Source organism: Homo sapiens, chromosome 13 (assembly GCF_000001405.40).
Source record: "Homo sapiens chromosome 13, GRCh38.p14 Primary Assembly".
Taxonomy (NCBI): Eukaryota; Metazoa; Chordata; class Mammalia; order Primates; family Hominidae; genus Homo; species Homo sapiens.
Window position 1 is genome coordinate 46,657,032 of NC_000013.11, and position 15,662 is coordinate 46,672,693.

At 40.3% G+C, this 15,662-nt stretch overlaps 1 protein-coding gene across 5 annotated transcripts in view, besides 3 other annotated features; it reads left to right on the forward strand.

The window, feature by feature from the left end:
* LRCH1 (leucine rich repeats and calponin homology domain containing 1) overlaps positions 1–15,662 on the forward strand; it is a 199,872-nt gene that overhangs the window by 103,862 nt on the left and 80,348 nt on the right. For all 5 annotated transcript variants that reach the window (XM_017020483.2, NM_001164213.2, NM_001164211.2 and 2 more), the window contains exon 3: positions 11,999–12,125. In XM_017020483.2, the coding sequence (XP_016875972.1) occupies positions 11,999–12,125 (127 nt within the window). The remainder of the gene's footprint in view (positions 1–11,998; positions 12,126–15,662) is intronic.
* Positions 10,426–10,475: an enhancer, noted in NCBI's record as "active region_7710". NCBI's record gives its function as "activates an Ori minimal core promoter by ATAC-STARR-seq in GM12878 lymphoblastoid cells {active_cell/tissue: GM12878}" and the evidence as "EXISTENCE:reporter gene assay evidence [ECO:0000049][PMID:35858748]".
* Positions 10,991–11,210: an enhancer, noted in NCBI's record as "active region_7711". NCBI's record gives its function as "activates an Ori minimal core promoter by ATAC-STARR-seq in GM12878 lymphoblastoid cells {active_cell/tissue: GM12878}" and the evidence as "EXISTENCE:reporter gene assay evidence [ECO:0000049][PMID:35858748]".
* Positions 11,271–11,320: an enhancer, noted in NCBI's record as "active region_7712". NCBI's record gives its function as "activates an Ori minimal core promoter by ATAC-STARR-seq in GM12878 lymphoblastoid cells {active_cell/tissue: GM12878}" and the evidence as "EXISTENCE:reporter gene assay evidence [ECO:0000049][PMID:35858748]".

Sequence of the window (15,662 nt, forward strand, 5' to 3'; positions counted from 1 at the left end):
ACTACAGTAGTGTCAGAATGTGTTGGTTTTGTTTTCAGTTCTGTTTCTGATCTTAATAGAGTTGTTAAGATCTTTGTGCAGCAGGTTAGTGCTCTGGAACTGAGGTAAATACCCACTCCTAATTCAATTGTATTTTTTTTTTGTTGTATATATTATTTTGTTTACAATATATATATTGTCAAAGTTTATTCTGCCAGCCCCAAATGAACAAGTTCCAAATTGCATTTATTTGTCTAATGAGACAGATAAAAAGCACTGTGAAACATTGCCATTTCATCAGTAATCAACTTACTATATATCCTCTAAGAACACTGCACTTTACCAAGTCCTATAACAAGTGCTGTAGAGAAAAAGAGAGATTTTTTTTTTTAAAACATACATATATGAAAGGTGTGGATTTTGGGGATCATCACCACCACCACTTTTTTTCTTTCTTTCTTCTTTCATTTTTACTTTTTCTTTTCTTTTCTTTTTTTTTTTTTTTTTTTTTTTTTTTTTTTTTTTTTTTTTTGAGGCAGGGTCTTGCTCTGTTGCTCAGGCTAGAGTGCAGTGGTGTGATCACAGCTTACTGCAGCCTCGACCTCCCTGGGCTCAGGTGACCCTTCCATTTCAGCCTCACTAGTAGCTGGGACTACAGACGTGCGCCACCATGCCCAGCTAATTTTTTTTTTTTTTTTGGTAGAGATGGAATTTTGCTATGTTGTCCAGGCTGGTTTCGAGCTCCTGGGCTCAAGTGATCTGCCCGCCTTGGCCTCCCAAGGTGTTAGAATTACAGATGTGAGCCACCATGCCTAGCCACCACTACTTCTTAATAGCTAAATAGGATTTAAGATTAACCATCACACCATCAGATCTGAGCCCTTCAACAACCCTTAACTTTGGATAGGAAATAGGAAAGTGGTTTATCCCTAGGCTACACTATTTCATAATTAATAGAAATGAATGAGATATATTTCTTTGACATTTTATAGGTCACTAAGCACTTTCACCTCTGTTACCTTGTTGAACATGATCTCTATTGCATTTCATGCCCCTTAAGACAGTTTCATAATTATGAAAATAGTTGTTAGGGATTTTCCAAGGGAACAACATCAGTATTTACACAAGGAAGGCCTTTGTATTTTTAAAATTTCTACTGTAGCTATAATTGGTTCCCATTGTTATTTCTAATACTATAAATTTGTGCATTCTTTTTCTTTATCCACTTTTATGGAAGATGGTGTGTTTTAATAACTTTTTTTTAACTTAGCTTTTGATTTTGGATATTTTGCTCATTGATTACCAGTGATTTTTTCTTTTCTTACAGGAGCTTTTAAGTCCACAATTTCCCTGTCCATAGTGCTTTAGCTGACTCCTAAAAGTTTTGCTATGCAGTGGTTGTTAATCACTCCCAGGCTTTTCTACTTTCCATTATTACTTCTGTGGCTTGTGAGTGTTAAATTTCTTTTTATTTTCATTTTTGGTGATGGGCAGGGTCTTGCTCCATCACTCAGGCCGGAGTGCAGTGGTGCAATTACGGCTCACCACAGCCTTGACTTCCAAGGCTTAAGCTATCCTCCCACCTTAGCCTCCGCAGGAGCTGGGACTACAGGCATGCACCACCATGCCCAGCTAATTTTTAAATTTTTTTATAGAGATGGAGTCTCGCTCTGTGGCCTAGGCTGGTCTCAAACTCCTGGACACAAGTGATCCACCTACCTCAGACTCCCAAAGTGCTTGGATTACAGGCGTGAGCCACCACACCTGGGCTAAATATTTATAGAACAGTTTTTAAAGTTATCTTTAAAAGTTTACTTTTAATTTAGTTATATTGTGTCAGAGAATATTATCTGTTTGAAATAGATTCATTAGATTGGTCAAGTTTTGCTATGCATAGTTAATTTTGTAAATATTCCACATACGCTTGAAAACAATATATGTTTTCTAAGTCTGGTATGCAGGGTTATAGTAAGTACAGCAAATTTAACATTTTAATTTGGGGCTTCACATTTCCTCCATTGTAACACATTTTGCATCTGCAGGTCTGCAGGCAGAGATAACCTGGAAAGGTACATTAGACAAGGCACCTGGTACTCTTTTTGCCTGTTGCAAAATTGTTCACAATTTTTTTTCTGATACTCCAAATACTTCAGATTTATTTATTTATTTATTTATTTATTTATTTATTTATTTATTGAGACTTGTTGAGTCTTGTTCTGTCACCCAAGCTGGAGTGCAGTGGCATGATCTTAGCTCACTGCAGCCTCCGCTTCGTGGGTTCAAGCGATTCTCCTGCCTCAGCCTCCTGAGTAGCTGGGATTACAGGCTCCCGCCACCATGCCCGGCTAATTTTTGTATTTTTATTTGAGACAGGGTTTCACCATGTTGGCCAGGCTGGTCTCGAATTCCTGACCCCAGATGATCCGCCCCTCTCAGTCTCCCAAAGTGCTAGGACTGTAAGCGTGAGCCACTGCGCCCAGCCCAAATACTTCAGATTTATATCACCACATACAAGAATTGTGCACTTTCATGAACTATTGGAACAGGTCTGTAAGTAGCAAAAAACCAAAAAGAACGAAAAGAATATCAGCAGTGATACTCAGTGGGGATGGTGAAATGTTTCCTTTCAGATTGTGTGTCCTAAGAACTGGGAAAGCTTGTTTGTGTGTGGGTGGCTGTGGGGGGTGGGCTGAAGCAGTAGCTAGTGTTTTAGGGCAGTTCATTTACTTTTGTTCAATCAATAATTTGAATGGGTGATCTTCAGGGAATTTAAGTAAACTGTTATGAGTTGTGGCCCCTCAAGTAAATTAGTCCCAGAACCAGACCCTTGTGACCTCAGTACCAGTAGGAGAGAACAGCCTGGGATTTTCAGCAGAGGCAACCTTTGAACATTTGACCACGGTGCCAAAAATCTGCAAGCAGTTGTTTACAGAATTCTTAGGACCAGCCTGGAGTCCTTTCATTCCACCTTGCATGATAAGATCGGTAAAGGAAGTCTCACTTTCTGTATTCCTTAGGAGTCACTTTTTTTTTTTTTTTGAGACAGGCTGGAGTGCAGTGGCGCGATCTCTGCTCACTGCAAGCTCCGCCTCCTTGGTTCACGCCATTCTCCTGCCTCGGCCTCCCTAGTAGCTGGGACTACAGGCGCCCGCCACCACGCCCGGCTAATTTTTTGTATTTTTTTTAGTAGAGACAGGGTTTCACTGTGTTGGCCAGGATGGTCTCGATCTCCTGACTTCGTGATCCACCCACCTCGGCCTCCCAAAGTGCTGGGATTACAGGCGTGAGCCACCGCACCTGGCCTAGGAGTCAATAAGTTTTTTTAACTTAGATTTTTAGAATCCCAGAAGGAAATATCTGCTGCCACAGCACTTTAAAAATACATGATCGGCCGTCTCAAAAAAAAAATGTATATATATATGATCAATGTCCAGGTAGGATGTAGGTGATACCAGCTTAGAGAGAAATTGGCTAGTCTTGTTAGACATAAAGTCTTAGGATTTACACACATTTTGTATTTTCTCTGAGCTTAGAACAGGTTCTTGGACAGAGCAGGAACTCAGCAGGTGTAGAAAATAATCGACTTCTTTTCAGTATTTGACATGATAGCGCCTTCCTTTGTTGTCTTTGGTCACATGCTTTCCTGGTCACTTTTCTACTTCCTTTTTCTTCTCTATTACCGTATCTGGATATTCTTTCTCTTCCTGCAACTTAGTGCTAGAGTTCCCTAAAGCTTTGGTCTTCAATCTTCTCTCCAAGACCTTATGCCTCTTGTGTCTCAAATATGTTCTTTATCCCTTTGACTCAGTTGAGCACTAGCCCTTATTTCCCCGGTTCCCTAATATTCAGTTCCTCTTAGATGTCCTAGTGACCCTCAAATTCCAGTATGTTCTAGACTAAGCCCATTTTCTTCTTTTCCAAATTAGTATATCTTCGATCCTTGTTTCTGTTCATGCTCCTACTGTTTTTCTCCAGCACCCCAGGTCAGAATCTCAGAAATTATCTTTGACCCCTTTCCTCCATTCATTTTTACATAAATCAATCATTAACTACTAGTTCAGTATCTCATTGCCTCGTGCTTGGAATTCTGTGCCCTCCTTCCACTGTTTTCCTGGTTTACCTGTACGTTTTATTCCAGAGGAAATGAGAAAAGGCTGCACTGTGTAGAGGGGAGATCACAGAATTTGATCTAAAGCCTGACCCACCCGGTTTCAAACCTGAACACAGAGGCACTCACTAGCCAGGCAACTTATAATGAATTATTTAAATTCTCTGAATGTCAGTTTTTGTGTCTGAAAAGTGGGAGGTCTTAGTACTTATGTTACAAGATGGTTGTGAATATAAATAAAATAATCGTCTTAGTGCCAACACAGTCCCTTATATATATTAGCCAAGAAATATTTGTTGACTTGTTGAATTAAGTTTTGTGGCATGCTGTGTCATCATGCAAATTGAAATATGGGTTAAGAAGCAAAGTGTCAAAAGAGCTAGTATTTGAGTAAAGTAAGTGGATTTTTTAGTATTTTTGGCAAAGAGTAAAATTTTTGGCAAAACTTTACTCTGTGTAAAAATGTTAGAACACTAAAGAAGAATCTAGTTATTAGTAGTTGTCAAGTTATACAATAGAAGCTCTCTGAAGATTCATTTCCTTGGAGGGATGAGTAGGAAAAAAGGATGTACGTACACTAATATCCATGCATGTTCCACATTCAAACATTTCTAGAAATAAATGGAGAGGAACGCGTCTTCAAGTGGTAAATGGCAATATGCAGGCATCTTAATTTTTATTATGAATATTTTTATTACCTTAATGTCCCTAGGTAAAAATTGATCTCAGTAGACTGTGCTCACCTAAGTCAGTATCAGTATCCCTTTCCTTTTTTAAGGGGGAAAGATGTTAAAGTAAAAAATATATATTTTTGGCCAGGCGCCGTGGCTCATGCCTGTAATCCCAGCACTTTGGGAGTTGAGGCAGGCGGATCACGAGGTCAGGAGTTTGAGACCAGCCTGACCAACATGGTAAAACCCCATCTCTACTAAAAATACAAAAATTAGCTGGGCGTGGTGGTGTGCACCTGTAATCCCAGCTACTCAGGAGGTTGAGGCAGGAGAATCGCTTGAAAATGTATGTTTTCTAGGCTTTGGTAGGTGGTATGGAAGAGAAGCAAAGTAGGAATACCTTCCTGATAGTAGGAAACTAGGGTTGATTTCACCTGGCACATAGCTCCAAAAAGTGGGAGAATTATCTCCACTGCCCGTGTATCTTTCCTAGTCATTTAGTGATAATTTCCTGTGTGCCAGGAGCAATGATCTGCACAATGGTATTTTTCAAGACCCAGAGCTTAGGCCGCTACAAGTCTTAATACTTAAAAGCCCACATCTACATTGTTGCCTCTAAAAGTGTTTGCAAAATTAATATTTTGGCTGGTATTACATATTGAGTTCTCTTTGAACATCCACAGTTCACTTATTTTGAAAGCTCAATTGATTTTGAGCATTCAATTCCATTTTAAAATAGAGGAAATTTAAAGCAGTGGTTTTTAGAGCACAAAATAGGCCTTGATCTTTTGGAATTGAAGAACTCTTAGAAGAAAGGAGAGAAAATAATTAAGATAGAGCTAGTTATCAAAACTGCCCTTTGAAATCTAAGTGTAGACATTGGTAGCTTACATTGGTTGCTGACCGTTGGGGGGAATATATATATATGAATATTTTAAGCAGTGGTTTATTTATACTCACGAGGAGATAGGCTATTATTGTGGGAAACCAGTTCAGTTGCAAGAGGTCAAATATGGTGCAGGTATGCATAGGAAAATGCACTGTGAAATAAATGACTGTTGCAGAAATTTGCCTGAATTCAGACTTGCTTTAGACACTCTGTTTTTGTTTTCTTGCTCTTCTCGCAGTTCTCTTTTCTAAAGTTAATCTTTTACCTTCTCAACACATGGCTTTTATGTGTTTGGAGTGTGAAATTGATTGGTGTAGCTTTCAAGACTTGTTTCAGATTCAATTCAAATGATGATTCTGTTTTTCTAGTCTGAAAACATTTTAAGTCTTCAAATGATTGTCACAGTCAGGTTGTAGTTAGCATAACTGCTTTCAAAGTTAGATTTAAACTTAGGCTCCCAGATTTAATATACATTATGTAATTAAGCACCTATAATATAAATATATAAGATAATAATAAATCTCTGTCCTAAAAATTAATGTCAAATGTTATTTTTTAGCTTTACATAAGTGTAAAGATAGTCTCTATTTGATTTTAGCTTTATAGCATAAAATTACAGTTGACCAGACTGTCACCAGGCAACTGAAAGCAAAGCTTTTGTTGTTGTTGTTGTTGCTCATTGTCTTAGACGTGTAATTAATGATGGTGGAATGTAGGGGAAGGGCAGGCAATGAAGGGGAAGCACTCAGTCATTAGGGGGAACCAGGGTGAGACATTTTGCCATGGTGGATTTTTCAGAATGGAACAAGCAGGAAAAAGGAAATGGTTCTCTATGGATATTGTTCACTGCTGTGTGCATATAAAGACAACAGTCAGGTGTCATATGCAAAACAGCAAAAAGTTACTCTAACTTTGATGAGAAGCAAACAGGGTATTCATAAAAGAGCATAAAAACAAAATTAGGTGAGGTATCCTGTGAAAAGGAAACTTACTAGGCTAAAGTAAAATAATTGCTGTTTACTGTAGGTCGAGTGCCAAGCACAGACAGTAATATTCAAATCAACAATGACTGGATCCTTGCTAGCTCCTTTCCCTTGCTGAGACTCAGTATTGGATAAGCCCAGAGTATCCACGCTGTGAAACCTGCCCAGCTTTCTCTGTCACTCTTTAGATTCAGGCCTGTGTCATTTCCTTAATAGTTTTGTGATGGTTAATGACTTTACATCATTATTTCCATTACTATTTGAAAACAAGTAGTAAACAGAGATTGTAACCCCTGGATATTCATGCTTTTCCAGTGAAATGGCAGGATCCTGGAATTAGGAAGGATGAGAGAGAAAATGTCATTTATAGGATTATATGTTGTAGTCTTGGTTATCCAGATTGGAATTAGGTACATGGTTTGTTTGGGCCTGAAATTTTATAGCCCAGCCTGATTCACCCTGGCATGTCTGAGCTATCTCTTTATTTTTAATTGGTATATGTTTTCAGTGAGGGAAACATTAAACCATATTTTAAAGGTGGCTAAAATTTTAGCAATTAGGATGTACAATAAGTAAAATTAATAAATAGAGTCATACACCACATAATGACATTTTGGTCAACAATGGACCACATATGTGACAGTGGTATAAGATTATAATGGAGTTGAAAAATGTCTATGGCGTAGTGACATAGGCGTTGTAGCCACATCTTAACATCTGAGCATAACACATTACCCTTTCTATGTTTAGATGTGTTTAGATACAAAAATACTTATCATTGTGTCACAGTTGCCTACAGTATTCAGTACAGTAACGTGTTGTACAGGTTTGTAGCCTAGGAGCAATGGGCTATATCATATAGCCTAGCCATGGAGTAGGCTAGACACTTAGGTTTGTGTAAGTACTTTCTGTGATATTCACACAATAACACAATGGCATGATGAAGCATTTTAAAGAAGGTATCGTTGTCATTAAGCAACACGTGGCTGTAAAATCGAGCTGAGCACACCTATGCTCTCTATGGTCACCTCCTCGCTGCTTTGTTACATTAGTGGCTAGGTGAGGTTTAATCTTTATATATGGATGTGGTGTTGGGCTAAGCATTTTCACATCTATAATGTCGTGTTAGGTAGGTCTTATTGTCTCTGTTTTATAGCTGAGAAAACCAGAGAGATTAAATGATTTACCTGATTTGTGGCAAATCATCTCTATGGTATTTGAACCCAGGTCTTAAAATTTCACAACAGGTGGCCTTTCTCTCTTTATCTCTTACTTAAAAATTGGCTTAGTCTGGGAGGGGCAGTCTCTTGACAATCTGAAAGGTTTTTACAATTGGTGACTTTTCTGCCACACCAAGCAGCCAATTGAGTGAGTAAATTTGTTATATAAATTTTTCTATAAATTATTTTCTAAGTGAAAATAATTTTCTGTATTCTGTTAAGTGAATCCATTCACTGAAAATACAGAGGTATATTCCAGTAGAATTTAAAAATGTGGGTATTATGCTCTGTTAATAAAATCACCTGTAAGAACATAGCATGTCTTTATAATCACATATCTTAAGGAAAATAACCTTTTGATAAACCAATAATAAATAATATCAGATACTAAGATTGAGACTCAAACTATGGACATCAATAAGTGCCATAGTCAAAATACATCAAAATAATACTCTAAAAGTAAAACCAGAAAAAGTGATTTGGTTTGTAAATTCCTTAATTTAGGAGTTAAGTGAGGGATAGTGGTACTTGAAGCCAAGATAAATGTATCCTGCAAATTTAGGCTGCCAAGAATGTTTAGATTATATTGAGCTGCCTTATTTCATCTTGAAATGATGAAATAGACAAATGAATCCAGCAGGAAGTCATTTAACTGAAAAAGATGGAAGATGAAGCATTCACAATAATATGGATCTGGTAAAAGCCCACTGCCTTCCCTCTCTTTCTCTTTCCTCCCCACCCTGATCTTCAACCCAGACTCTGCAGGGACAGTGACAAAGAGACAGGTTTGGGGTAGGGGTGGGGGTGTAGACTTGGCTCTGGTGATGTAGCTTGTCGGATACAATATGGCCTTATTTTCAAACGTTCTTTCAGCACAGAGCCAGTTTATAGCACCAAGGCTGCAGAAGACCAGGGGTGTAGGATAGTGGATTGTGGCCTGAGGCACTTACTTGCTTGAGAAAAATTGCTGCCAGAAGAGTGGTTTCAAAAAGCTGAGGCTGCTGCTGTGGTTGCTAGTGGGTAGAGGATTAAAGGGAATGCAGCTTTTCCTCTCCTGTCTAAATATTTGCTGGAGAGCAAATGGGCTTTTGTGTGCCTGTGTATTTCCTTTTTCTATTGGGGAAATTACAAGTAATACAGGAACATCCTGTGATAAAATATATGAAGTAGAGGCTGAGGGAGCAGAGAGATGAAGTCGAAGAAATGTGCCCCAGGTCTGTGGCCTGCTGTACGGTGACTAAATTCTTAGCATGGTGAATTGGTAAGTCTACAGATGATTAACTACAGTGTAAACAAGACATATATGGAACATAAATATGAGATAGGCCATTCCATCAGCAGCTTTTAGTGTAAAAAGCATCCGTTCCCCTCAAAGAGACCATGAATGTTTTCACAAGCTTAAATTTTATTTTATTTTAAGTAAGTACCCACTCTGGAAGATTTCCAATGAGAATAAACCCATGTAATCTCAAATACTCACGCATCTGAATGAGCAGAACTTTCTTTGTGTTTCTCAAAGTAGTATGATACATGACTCTCCCAGTTCCATATCTGCTAATCTGGTTAGATCCCTGCACCAACTAGTGAGACGGATAACTTAGAGTGTAACTCTGAGTTTCCAGGCAAAGAAATGTAGGAAAGATCTTAACTTGTATTTGTTAACTCTGCTAAAAATAGGAATGTAGAACTTTCTTGAAAATACTAATCTTTGTTCTCATTATCCCTCTTCAAAAGGAGGTTTACGTATGGCTCCAAATAAATAGACTTGCCTTATTAACATTTTTATTTGCCGATCCTCACTTTATAAAATTGCATATTAACAAATATTTTATAACCACAAGTTACATTTCAAATTATTTGCTTGCCACCTTTTAATAAACTGAGTTCTCTTTTCTGAAGGAGCCTTTTTTGGAGCTTGAAAAAAGCCCTCACAGCAGGGTAACAGGAAGACCCCCTCCTCCAGCCAAAAGAGTCCCACTGAGCCCCTGCTGGTGAGAGAGAGCCTTGGGAGGGATGTGAGAGGCAGAAACACAGGCTGCTGGCCCTAGCTCCTCCCTTCCACCGTCCCCAGAGACCAGGAGAGAGTGCCAGTGCGGGCCCATTGCCCTTATTCTCTTGGTCCAATCCTGCTAACTAGGGAAAGTGAAGAGCTGGTTGGTCTTTTGCAAGCCAGGAACCTACCAGGAGGGCACTCAATCTCCTCCCTCCTTCTGCTGGACCCTCTTAAAGAAAAATCTGCCTCTTTCTGGAAATAGCTTTTTCCATGGGTCTGCACAATGGAGAGAAGATATGACTGTATCTCTTCTTGCTAAAACATAGTTACATGGGTAATTGAGTGCCCTGGAGCAGCAGAGATATCAAGGTGTTGACAAGGCCGTGCCCAGATTAGAAAGGTTCTTTCCACAGCACAGCACCTGCTTTTTCTGAGCTCATCAGGTAGAGCTGCCCTTCAGTTAACCAGATTTCTGCTCCCTCATATGGAGGAGAGTCAAACTTCTAATTGAAGAATGACATATATTCAGAAAAGTGCACAGATCATAAGTATACATCTCAAAGAATTTTCATGTTCTCACTCATAGGTGGGAATTGAACAATGAGAACACTTGGACACAGGAAGGGGAACATCACACACCGGGGCCTGTCGTGGGGTGGGGGGAGGGGGGGAGGGATAGCATTAGGAGATATACCTAATGTAAATGACAAGTTAATGGGTGCAGTACACCAACATGGCGCATGTATACATATATAACAAACCTGCACGTTGTGCACATGTACCCTAGAACTCAAAGTATAATTAAAAAAATAAAAAATAAAAAATAAAGAATTTTCACAAATAGGAGCACTCGTAACACATATCCAGGTCACATTTATCATTTTATAATGATGTTTCTTTCCTGATGATAAAAGCACTTGTAGAAAGTTTGGAAAATACATCAAAGTATAATAATGGAAATAAAAACCATCCATTGTACCTATACCCGAAGAGGAGTACCGATAGTATTTTGGTGTATTTCCATTCTGTCTGTCTCTCCCCCTCACATACACAGATACATGCATGTCTATAAATACACTCACACAGGAACACAGCTTCTGAAACTTTATGCATGTGTGTGCAAACACACAGCAGTTTTATTAAATAGTTACACTGAATGACATACAGATTTTTAGATATTTCACTCTGTGGTTGTTGGCTTCAACACCAGAAGGGCAGAGAAAGAAAGGGAAACTGAAACCCATCTGTCTTTTTGCTTGGTAGCAGGAAAAAGGGGCTTTTTGTGGGGGAGGAGATTGAAATAAATGGCTGACATATAAATAAGGATGGTTCGTAGATTTTATTTATCTAGTATTTTCCATCTCCATGAAAACTAAGCATTGATGATAGAAAGTTCAGAAACTTCTGGGTAGAGACCCTCTTCTTGTAGAGCAGAGATGAGACATCAACTTAGACTTTTTTGGCTGCTCTGTGGAACTAAACCCCTCTGGGCTGCAGTTCCACTTTGCCAGAAGACCAACTTTCCTTTCTTTCTCTTTTAGTTAGCTCTCTTGCAGATACCAAAACAGACTTAAACTGTAGCAACCCTTGTTTTAACAAAAGGAAGCTGAGTCAAAATGTTGGAAATGAGCCCGGTGGTTTTGTGAGTTGCAGCAAAATTATCTTCCCCATCCCTACTGCAATGGATGAAATGATGCCTGTGTGGTGCTGGTTGCTTTGGTCCAGCTGAGTTTCCTGCACACATTGTCAGGAGAGGGCAGTTGGCACCAGCTTCCCGTTGCTATTGGTTGTGCAGGATGTGCTCTCCATCTGCCTCCTGGCTGGCCGAGGGCTCAGCTTCTAAGTGGCGGTGGCGGGGTGGCGGGGTGGCGGGGGGACTTTGATGGCATTCCTTGTGTTGAATAAAGTTGTCTCTTTGAGAACTGCCCATACCCTTATTTTTTATTTTTTATTTTTTTTTAAAAAAAGAAAAACATATTTTGTTTTCTTACATACTTGTCATTTGAGTTGTCACACAGAAAATATATTGGACTTCTTGTATTTGTAAAATGTCTTCTCAGATCACTCCTTTTTCCTTTCTTGTTAAAAACAGGTTCACAGACAGTATGAAGTGGCCTTTCTGTTTACATGTGTTCTTGTTGTATTGTCTTTGCAGTCGAAATCAGCTGTCCGCCCTGCCTGCCTGCCTGTGTGGTCTGCCTCTCAAAGTCTTAATCGCAAGTAACAACAAACTTGGATCATTACCAGAAGAGATAGGTCAGCTCAAACAGTTAATGGAGCTGGTATGTTACCGATTTTTAAGATGCTCTTTTTTGTTGGTTGACTGATCATAGCCTCTCAAGGTATTCAGAAAACCTTTTTGCTACGGTTGGACAAGGTAGAGCCTCTGTTGTTTGAGGGCAGGTATATGATAAAGACATTAAGTGGGGAGAGGAACAGCTTTGAAACTTCACTGTGACAGACACAGTTCCTGGAATTTAAAGGCTTCCTGTAATTTACAGCTCCTGAAGTTTGCAGGATTTGCCGTTTTTGAAGTTTATGGGCTATCATGTTGTAGTTAGTATTTTCAGATTGCATATAAATTTGTAAAAAATTATGGCTAAACTGCCAAAATAATCTCCAAATAAGTTAGTAGGCCACACTTCATGAAGGTATAAAATTAAGTCAGAAGACAGAAAGAATGGGGTGCTCTGATTCTGTCGAGATTTTAGAAATCATTGTCGCAAATCGTTGTAATTTTAAAATGTGACCGTGTCCCTAGGGATAGAAAAGGAGAACAAGCTATAGATGAGCAGAGATGGATTACAAATGTGTGTGAAGCTGAGATGCACTGTTATATTTCAGCTCTTTCACTACTAATTTAATTATTTACCCTTTTTCTAAATTGGGAAAGAATGAATACTTTCTAAACTTCCATTGAGCTAACATAGGTGAAGGAAGAAGCAGGAGTTAGCAGTCAGGCTGAAAGGTGATAGTCTTCATTTATCATCTAAGCATTGGCTTATTCCATCCTGATCTTGTGTCAGGCACAGGGCTTGATGTGATTAAATGATGAAAAGGGCACAGTACCTGTCTTTCAGTAGATTCCAGTCTAGAACAATGATGGCCAATAAGTTTTGTCTTTTGTGCCAACTCCTCTGGGGCCACCCGGAGCACCACGGTGCTGGCCTGTGAGGCCCAGATAGAGAATGCTGTGATTGCTTAGTCATGTCTTTAGTGGGATTGGGCTAGGAGAGTGATGGCACCCATGTCACATACGTATCAACTTTGACTTTAATATAGAAATTAATAATTGCTGTAGAAAGACGTTAGAGCTATAGAAAGTGTCTTTTTCATGGATTATTTGATAGCATTGTCCAAAACTCATTCCAGCTAGCTCACACCAAAAGTCAGCGTTGGTTAGAGGATACAGGGGTCCATCAGATCACTTACGATGAAGACATTTGGTCACAGGTCATGAGTGACTAGGACAAGACACTGGAATGTTGTGAAGGACCATGGCAGCGGTTCATTTTTCTGCTCAGCTTTTCCTCTTCCATACAACGGCAGAGGTTGCCCAAGTTTAAATGTTCTCCCAGGTAAAGCACCTAGCAAGAGACCTACTAGCATCTCTCAGCCCTGGGTTCTAAGTGAGAGGCAGATCTGGTCTGATGTTCTCGCCGACTGAGTCTGCTGTGCCCAAGGCACATGGTCACACTGCTCAGATGTGGCTGTTGGGCTGCCACCAAAGGGGGTAATTCTGAAAGAAGACAGATATTAATTTGAGCAGACACTGCCCATCCCCCCCCAACCCTGTCCCCAAAAGTTTCTATTACAAGAAGCATGTGCACGAGGCAGGGAATGATTAATTAATTCAGTCTTCGGGTTGTGAGAGGTTTGGAAAAGAAGAGCCCTTTGAGAGGCCCCTTAAATAAGCCCATGTGGGATTTCCTAGGAGGAAAAAAGAAGTCAGGGACAGGGAAAGCATTCAAGGAGAAGGGACAGCTTGTGCAAAGGCAATACATCCTAGAAGTCCATGTCGTGCTTGGGAGTAGGAAGCCGTTTAATCCTGCTGAAGTCTAGGTAGATAGAATGGGGCTGGGCACACCCTCCTCATGCCCACTGCCTTAGATTTAGGCCACAGGCAACTCCTTCACAGGGCATTCGAGGCCTTCTGTGGTCAGGCCCCTGCTCACCTCTTCGGGTTCATCTCTTGCCACTGGCACCTTCACTCTCCAAGTTCCTACCTTCTGGGAATGCACCTTGTTCATTTTCATTTCTGGACTTGTGCACACATCACTCTTTCGTCATGGGCTGTTTCTTCCTCCCCGCTCCTTTCTTGGTTAGTTCTTAGCCAAGTTAGATCTCACTTTGTCCAAAAAGCCTTCCCAGATCCTCCAAGCCTGAGTTAGGTGCTCCTAAGGCAAGCACTCCATACTTATTACTCAATTTTCATAGCATCACAGTTGTTTTCTTACTTGGCTTTCTCTGTGCCAGCTCCCCCCACACCCTGATAGCTGCTTACTTGCTGTTGCATCCCAGGTGCCTGGCACCTGATAGGCACCCAGCAGATGTTTGCTGAATGTTACTGTTGAATGGTGGAAGGTGAACCTGGAAAGATGGCTGGGGCAGATTGTGAAGACCGTCAGGTGCTGGGCCTGAATGGGGCTGAGGGGGCAGGAAGACTCAATCTTGCTGTCCACATAACTCAGAAGGTGCCATTTTAACTGGTTCTAGGAAACAAAAAATTTCCTAGGTGAAAGCTTTGGATGAAAGTGACGGTCATATGCTGCTGCTTTTTCTTTTAATGCTTCTTTTAGGTATCTGATAGCCACAAAATCCATGGTTGCTAAAATTTGGTTTAGGATTTGCAAATACAATATGAATAACAACTAAAAAAACCAGACTTTATTTTTAAGAGCAGTTTTAGGTTCACAGCAAAATTGAGAGGAAGGTACAAAGATATCCCACATACCCTCTACTCCCACACATGCACAATCTCTCTGTCATCAACGTTCCCCACCAGAGTGGTTCATTTGTTACAATCTGTGAACCTATCCGGACACATCAATGTCACCCAAAGTCCACAGTTTACATTAGTGTGTTCACTCTTGGTGTTGTACATTCTATCGGTTTGGGTAAATGTATAATGACATGTGTCTCTTTCACTACCCTACAAATCCTCTGTGTCATCCCTCCCTCCTCCTCAACCCTGGCAACCACTGATCTTTACTGTCTCCATAGTTTTGCCTTTTCCAGAATGTCATGTAGTTGGAACCATACAGTATGTAGCCTTTTCAGGTTGGTTTCTTTCACTTAGTAATATGCATTTAAGTTTCCTCCATGTTTTTCTATGGCTTGACGGCTCATTTTTTTTAGTGCTGAATAATATTCCACTGCCTGCACAGTTTATCTCCTCACCTCCTGAGGGACATCTTGGTGGCTTGCAAGTTTTGCCAATTATGAATAAAGCTGACAAGTTGCTTTTTTTTTTCATTATTTGAGGTCCCGTGCAGATGGGTGGCACATGGGTGAGATCAATCTTCTGGAACTTTTTGGTGCTGATACGTGCTTCTGTCCCATGAACCTTGGGTGTAAATGACACCGCATGCCTTCCATCAGCTGTGCTCTAGAGCTGTGTCAACCAGCTCATCTGTTAGCAGGTGGCACATGTGCTGAGCCTGAGAGTCAGCCGCATACTAGAGCAGGGCTTTCCTCAAATACCCTTTGTCAGCTGCAGGGCTGACGTGTAAACAGCGTTGTCTCCAGCGTCAGGACACACTGGCTGTCGGGTGGCTCTAAGGGACACCCCATGCTTTTCTTGGGCACCCTGTCCTGGC